This window comes from Homo sapiens, chromosome 8 (genome assembly GCF_000001405.40).
Source record: "Homo sapiens chromosome 8, GRCh38.p14 Primary Assembly".
NCBI lineage: Eukaryota > Metazoa > Chordata > Mammalia > Primates > Hominidae > Homo > Homo sapiens.
Window position 1 is genome coordinate 13606426 of NC_000008.11, and position 8659 is coordinate 13615084.

An 8659-nucleotide genomic window follows, 5' to 3' on the forward strand; every position below is an offset into this window, starting at 1 on the left:
AACATTCACCATGATTAACTGTCTATTACCATCCTAGAGTGCATTGACCCTATGGACAATTTTTTTCTTGCTCTCCATTTATACCCATTCAATTGGCTTAATTACCCTTATTATAAGAAAATATACTCTGCATAAAAACTGGTTTCTTTCCTCAAATAATCTCTTAGAAGTTTCTGCAAGACTCTGAATAACCCTTAGTTTTCTTCCTTAAAATATGTCTTAATGTATATCTCTTTAACTGTAAAATTTTATCCCCCTATTCATTTTGACAAAACTTCTGCATCTCTATTAAAAGCTTAAGACTTTAAACGGAAGTGTCAGTTTAATGAAATAACATGCAGAAAAAAAAGTATTTGCCTCTGTTGAAAGCAAGACTTCACTTTTCAATTCCATATCTAATTAAAGCCAATGCTTATTTCCAGGTGATGGGATGGAAAATGGTTAAACCAATACATAACTCTCATTTTTCTGAGACCTCTATCGTTTTGTTGTTGTTGTTTGTTTTTTACTTTAAGTTCTGGGATACATGAGCAGAACGTGCAGGTTTGTTACATAGGTATACATTTGTCATGGTACTTTGCTGCACCTATCAACCTGTCATCCAGGTTTTCATTCCTGCATGCATTAGGTATTTGTCCTGATACTCTCCCTCCCCTTGTTCCCCACCCACCGACAGGATCCTGTGTGTGATGTTCCCTCCCTGTGTCCATGCGTTCTCATTGTTCAACTCCCACTTATGAGTGAGAACATGCGGTATTTGGTTTTCTGTTCCTGTGTTAGTTTGCTGAGAATGATGGCTTCCAGCTTCATCCATGTCCCCGCAAAGGACATGAACTCATTATTTTTTATGGCTGCATAGTATTCCATGGTGTATATGTGCCACATTTTCTTTATCCAGTCTATCATTGATGGGTTGATTCGAAGTCTTTGCTATTGTAAGTAGTGCTGCAATAAACATACATGTGCATGTGTCTTTATAGTAGAATGATTTATAATCCTTTGGGTATATACCCAGTAATGGGATGGCTGGGTCAAATGGTATTTCTGGTTCTAGGTCCTTGAGGAATCACCACACTGTCTTCCACAATGGTTGAACTAATTTACACTCCCACCAACAGTGTAAAAGCATTCCTATTTATCCACAGCCTCACCAGCATCTATTGTTTCCTAACTTTTTAATACTCTCCATTCTAACTGGCATCAGGTGGTATGCCATGTGGTTTTGATTTGCGTTTCTCTAATGACCAGTGATTATTAGCTTTTTTTCATATATTTGGTGTGGGCGAAGGATTACCTAAGTGCCGAGGCAAGAGACTGAAGGCACAAACTGTTTCAGTATAATAAAGAAAATAGAATAAGAATAGTCATAATACAAATTAGATATAGAGATGATCATGGAAAATTATCAATTTTAATATTACTCTTTGTTGCATTACTAATATAACCTAGCAATAACCGGCGAGTATAGGGGTCAGGTGCTGAAGGGACATTGTGAGAAGTGACCTAGAAGGCAAGAGGTGAGCCCTCTGTCACGCCCATATGAGGGCCGCTTGAGGTCTCCTTGGTCAAGCGGTAATGCCAGTGTCTGGGAAGGCACCTGTTACTTAGCAGACCGTGAAAGGGAGTCTCCTTTCCTTGGAGGGGTCAGGGAACACTCTGCTCCCCAACTTCTTGTGTGAGGCTGGATATTATCCAGGCCTGCCCGCAGTCATCCGGAGGCCTAAACCTCTCCCTGTGGTGCTGTGCTTCAATGGTCATGTTCCTTGTCCACTTTCATGTTCCTCCCGTACTCCTGTTTCCTCTTTGAAGTTCGTAGTAGATAGCGGTAGAAGGAATAATGAAAGTCTTAAAGTCTTTGATCTTTCTTATAAGTGCATAGAAGAAAACGCTGATGTATGCCGTCTTCCCTCTCTGCTTCGGCTATCTAAAAGGGAAGGGCCCCCTGTCCCACGATTACGTGACTTGCTTGACCTTATCAATCACTTGGATGACTCACCCTCCTTACCCTGCCCCCCTTGTCTTGTATGCAATAAATATCAGGGCGCCCAGCCATTCTGGGCTACTACCGGTCTCCGCGTCTTGGTGGTAGTGGTCCCCCGGGCCAAGCTGTTTTCTCTTTATCCCTTTGTCTTGTGTCTTTATTTCTTACAATCTCTCGTCTCCACACACGGGGACAACACCCGCTAAGCCCCGTAGGGCTGGACCCTACAGTTGGCTGCATAAATGTCTTCTTTTGAGAAGTGTCTGTTCATATCCTTCACCCACTTTTTGACCTCTATCGATTTCTAAAAGTTTTAAAGGTTCTGGGAAGTCATAGGTTTAAGATATGGGAAGCGATATGAGAGCTATTATGTTCAAATGCAGGGGATGTTGTATATGTAGGATTGGGATAGTTTAAGAATGGTTGAAATGTTCAGATGTTTTATTAAGCTGACTTTTTAAAAGTAAACATATATATCTGCAAGTACAGTGAAATAACTATAAACACAGTAATTCAATCAAAGAGTGAACAGTACCAAGGTCCTAATTGTTTGAAAATGGTTCCCATTTGTTTTTGGTTGCATATTATTAGGATTCTAGCAAGATCAGTCTGTTTGTCTCCGTGTTTGTATTTATCCATCCATCCATCTATCCATCGATCCATCCATCCATTCATTCGTCACCCATCCATCTGTCCTACCTCCACTCATATTTTATCATACTTATATAAGCAGAATATTTAACAGCAGGTTTAGTTGGGGAAATAACCAAATTGAATGAATGTTGGCCATAATCCTTTACACAGAGTTCTGGAGCTCTTTACTTTGCCAAGCATTCATTTTATTTGTTGGATTATAGGGAAATGAAGTCACAGGCAGGTGCTAAGCTGCACCAGGGTACTCAGACGGCTTGAGGCAGTAGCTAATGACCAATGGACAGTGAAGTGTTTGGATATTTAACATATCTAACAAGAATTATGGCTGGTTAAATTATTTAAACTCCACATTTATAAATTACACACACATAAATAAATTTCAAAGGTGAAATAAAGCTGAAGCAAAAACTGTAGTGTCCGTATAATATTTTGAGCCAGAACAACTCTTGGAGCAAGGTTGCTTATCAACATTAGTGGATAAAAGCTCATATTTAAAAAAAAAATAAAAACTTTTTGGCTGACTTCTTGTCAGATTTTACTTTGTAATTTGGCTGATGAAGGGGATGTAATAGAAGGGAAATAGTCGACTCTACCAATTTCCTATTCCTGTTTTTGTTTGTGTTATTATTTTTATCATTACAATACATATATAGAAGGTAGTTGACTGCTAAGATCAGTACAGAGAATACAGAAGAATAAAGACATCTACCTATCATCTGGAAATAAATTGCTCTTCTCTGCTCCATTAGAACTTTGCTCATACCACTCTTGAAGCCCTTATTACATTGCATGTGATTATTTCTTGTGATGCTTTCCTGTTTTCGCTACTAGACTGTTCTTTTGGGATAAGGATAGGAAATCGTCATTTTTAACAAGGTCCTGGTGTAACTCTTGTGCTTGGTAAATTTGAAATCCCTAAATCAGATAAAGAACTCCTCACAAAAAGAGCTATTTTATTCATTGCTATATCCCCTAACCTTCAAAAATCTTTGGTTTTAGGTATCTCTTAATGATCATTTCTGGAATAAATTTTTATTGTTCTTTGCCAAGTTTAGTGGGAGCTACTGGTGATGATATTTACAGATATAAATATGCGCTCACCCTCAAAAGATCTTCAGTTCTGTTGGGAAACCTGGAAGAAACTGTCAAATGATAAATATGGTCAAATCAGTTTAAGTAGTGAGTAAGTGGTATAGGTAATACAAACTCCAAAATAGGGTCTGGTTCTTTCACAATTAAGAAAGAGAAATGAAGAAGAAAATTCTAACGTACATTATTAAAGCATTTGGTAGTTTTCAGTTGTCCTTGTAGCTGAATTGTTTTATTAAATATCAGTGCAGGATTATTTGTAAATAGACTTGGAATGCCTTTAAGTTGCCTATGAAGGCATAATAGTCATTAGAATAGTTGTGATCTGATAGTGGCAAACAATAATTTATGGTAAATAAATAAATAAATGTGTGTGTGTGTGTGTCTATTAGGTGAAAACCGAAATATGAGTCTTATTTTTATTTTTCTTTTATCTGTGAAACCTTTCAAAACTAAGGTGTGCACTTGTGAAATACTCAATATTGAAAAAGTTACCAGTATTCAGTACCCACTCATCATATTGAGACAAGGTCTAAATTCCATGAGAAAGTGTTGTCAACGTAAACTTCAAACAAATTGAGATAAATCGCACTATCACATAGAAGGAAGTTCTCTGTACTTAAAATTACCTGAGCACTGGGTTCTATTCCATCTCACTTCCCTGTTGTCAAACATGTATTTCCCTTTTTAAAACAAATGAGCAAATAATCCCCATTCAACTTAGTCATCCACTTCTGTGTATAACTCTAATATCTCTATACCAATGTCAATCACTATCCCCATTCTCTTCCTCCGACTTCAGATCACTGTTTTATGATAGTGAAAGTTATCTGTACTTGTCTTCTTTTCTGATGGACTTCTAACCCAACATGGTAAATCTTCTACTTTGCATTCCTGGAAAGCCCTCTCTTTAGGCCACAAATGACCTCTCAATTGCATATCTTCTCTCAGTAGATAATCCATTCTGCATTGTTTTTCCTTATAATGCTAGTTCTTGGAGAGAGTCATGTAATAAAAATAGGATTTTATTGTCAACAATATTGGGAAATACTGCATACTTCATTTCCTAATATTTGAAAACAAAACTTGAGGACAATCACCATATGTTGACATGAAAACTCTGCAGCATGGGAATTCATGTAATAACATGTAACTCAAGTATGTTTCCAAATTGCTCATTTTTTTCCTTTCTATTCACTTTTCTCACTACCATTTGAGGTTTTGGATCTGAGACTCCTTCCTTTACTATTTATCGGCAAGGACTTTACTTCATATTGATTTTTTTTTTTTTTTTAAGATGGAGTCTCGCTCCGTCACCAGGCTGGAGTGCAGTGGCATGATCTCGGCTCACTGCAACCTCCGCTTCCCGGGTTCAAGCAATTCTCCTGCCTCAGCCTCCTGAGTAGCTGGGATTACATGCACGTGCCACCATGCCCAGCTAATTTTTGTATTTTTTACTAGAGACGGGGTTTCACCATGTTGGTCAGGCTGCTCTCGATCTCGTGACCTCGTGATCTGCCCGACTCGGCCTCCCAAAATGCTGGGATTATAGGCATGAGCCACCGCGCCCAGCCTTCATATTGATTTTATAAGTTGTAAGTCACTGCTAAAACTGAATGGGTTAATTTTCCTTCCTAAATCTGTCTTGTCTTCATTCTCTCCTATTCTTTGTCTGCCCCCACCCCATATCCTCTATGATTTACTCTGCTAAATCAGGCACTCAGCAGTGATGTGGTAAAGATTGATTATTATAGCCTCGCCTCTAATTTTTCACCTCTCAAGTCCATTCTCCACTCAGTAGCTGTAGTTAGATCTTTCTTAAAAGCCAATTCCAATTACCTCACCTTTCTGCTTAGCACTTGGGTGAGTTTACTAGGCCTGCTGGAACAAAGTACCACAAAATGGATGGCTTAAATCATATAAATGTATTGTCTCACAGTTCTGGAGGCTGGAAGACTGACATGAAGGTGTCAGCAGGGTTGCTTCTTTCTGAGGTCTCTGAGGGAGAATTGGTTCCAGGCCTCTCTCTCACCTTCTGCTGCTCTGCTGGGAATCTTTCATGTTCCTCGGCTTCAGGTACATCACCAGTATCTCTGCCCCATCTTCACGTGATGCTCTCCCTGTATCCATGCCTGTCTCCAAATTTTCTCTTTTTGTGAAGACACCAGTCAAAGTGGATTAAAGCTTGCCCTAATGATCTCACTTAAACTTGATTACTTCTGTAAAGGCTCTGTCTCCAAATGGAGTCACATTCTGAGGTATAGGGGCTTAGAACTCCAACATATATTTTTATTTGTGGGGACATAATAATTCAACCCAAATCTTTCTACGTATAAAATGTTTGCTACTTCTAACATGAAAATTCCTTTACGTGTCATACGAGATCCTGAAGTTCTCATTCCTGCCTTCACTAACTTCACCTCTTGCCACTCTCAAAATATCTTGCTCCTCTCAAATTAAGGAGGCAGAGAAAAAAGCTCCTGAAGGAATTTGTATGGTATCACCAATAAAACATAAAGGAAGAATACTGATAATCTTACCTAGGTTTCCTAGATAACTCTTATTCTTTCATTAGGGCTCAACATAAGAGTTACCTATTTGGCAAGCAATCTAATTACTCAAGTTTAGTTGGGTAACTTTTGTGCATTTAGCATTCTTCCATCTTTATTTTACACCTCTTCATAGGTCACTGTGAGCATCCTGAGGGCAAACTCCATCATGTTTATTTCTGTGGCACAATCCAGCTCCTGTTTGAACAATGATTAAATGGATGCACCTTCCAGGGAGCATGTGGGAAGTGGATTTATTCCAAGAGGTGAAAAGTGAACACACTAGGGCAGGACATTAGGGTTATTTAATCTGGGAAAGAATACCAGCAATTACGATGGAGGAAAGAGATGTAAACTTGGTCAAAATAGAGGGGAAGGAAATAAGGCAAAGCATCAAATAAAGATAAAATTATGAGGCTCTTTGTCCACTGCCATAAGATAGCTTCAAACAGTAGAAAGAAAATGTAATTTGCAATTAGACAACAGCATTGTTCAAACTCCAGCTCTGGCACTTACTGTCAGATCATGCATGTGTTGCTTAAATTCCAAAGTTTTATTTCTTAAAGCATAAAATGGTGATAATGTCACCTATTTATGAGGGCTTAATAAGTAACCTTACATTCCTCAATTCCACAATAACCTCAATAAAATAGAGACTCAATGTTTTATATTAACATTGTAATGAAATTGTGAAATATCTTAGCCTTGCTCTCAGGAGAAACTTGCCACCCAACAGACAGATGGATCACATGTTAGGTAGAGTTTTCACAACTGGTGCATGTGCAAATTTAGTTTTACCTCCCAGATGTTAGTATCATACCGTTTTAACTTAAATGTGGATTCATAGTTGTAGCTTCAGTTTTCTTTGAAGGAAAATTATAGGACTCAGCACTGCCGTAAGAAGTTAATGTGCATGCAGAAATGTCCTATCATAGTAGCGAGAAAGGCAGCAGAGACAAACAGTAGAAATCATCAAGTGTATAGAGGAGGAAAATACAACTGTTGGGTAGTAGAGAAGTATCACGTTTTGCTATAAAAATACCTGCATTATTTGAATCATGTATATATGATGACAAGGCACTTATGTTTATGAAATTAAATAATTTAACAATTTTAAAGCAGAAATTGCTGAATCGATTAGAGTACATCATCCTATTTTCCAGAAAACAGAAAAGGTTGGTGTAGCAAACTGAGGCATCCTTATTAACTGTCAAACAAACACTTAATATTTCCATATCAAAAGCTTACTAGTCAATTTACTAATGAAAGTTGTTTAATTTTTGGAGGTCCATAAATTAATTAAAGAAAAAGTAAAACCATGAGTTTAGCCATAGGAAACATTGGAAAATCCCTCAGTAGTCCCCCTTTATTTGCTGAGAATATATTCCAAGACTCCCAGCAAATGCCTGAAACCTGGGATAGTACCAAACTCTCTACATACTATGTTTTTTCCTATATATACACCAATGACAAATGTATGATAAATGTACAAATATGGCATAGTACTCTTGTGCTTTGGGACCATTATGAAGTAAAATAGGGATTATTTGAACACAAGCATTGAGATACTGCAAATGTTGATCTAATAATCAAGATGGCAACTAAGTGACTAAAGGACAGGGAGTGTCTACAGTGTTGACATGCTAGAAAAAGATGATTTATGATTCCAGATGATTTGTAGCAGGGCAGGGAGAGATTTCATCATGCTACTCAGAATGGTGTGCAATTTATAACTGATGAATTGTTTATTTCTGGGATTTTCCATTTAGTATTTTTGGACCACGATTGACCATAAGTAACCAAAACCATGGAAAGTGAAACTGTGGATAAGCAGGGAGCACTGTATGCCCAAGAGGTCAAGATCAAGAGCAAAGCCTATCAATAGAGAAAAATGCAATTTTGCAACCAGGTGTAGCTGCTAAAGAATGAAAGCGATTTGGACAAATCTAGTCTCTCGATATGGAGAAGGCTTGTATGCAAACATTCATTCTGATACTAAAGAATACTTTGAATTAGTAAGATGGATGAAATGCAATTATACGCTATTTTTGATTCTTTAAAACTGGATATATAATATGCTTCTTTTTCTCTTTTAAAGAGCTTATTAAAAATGTATTTTACACTTACTGAATTTGTGTTCCAATTGCAACAATGTGTACTTTTTTTTTTTTTTTTTTTTTGAGACGGAGTCTTGCCTTGTGTCCCAGGCTGGAGTGCCGTGGCGTGATCTCGGCTCACTGCAACCTCTGCCTCCCGGGTTCAAAGGATTTTCCTGCCTCAGCCTCCCAAGTAGCTGGGATTGCAGGCGCCCGCCACCATGCCAAGCTAATTTTTGTAGTTTTAGTAGAGACAGGGTTTCACCATGTTGACCAGGCTGGTCTCATGC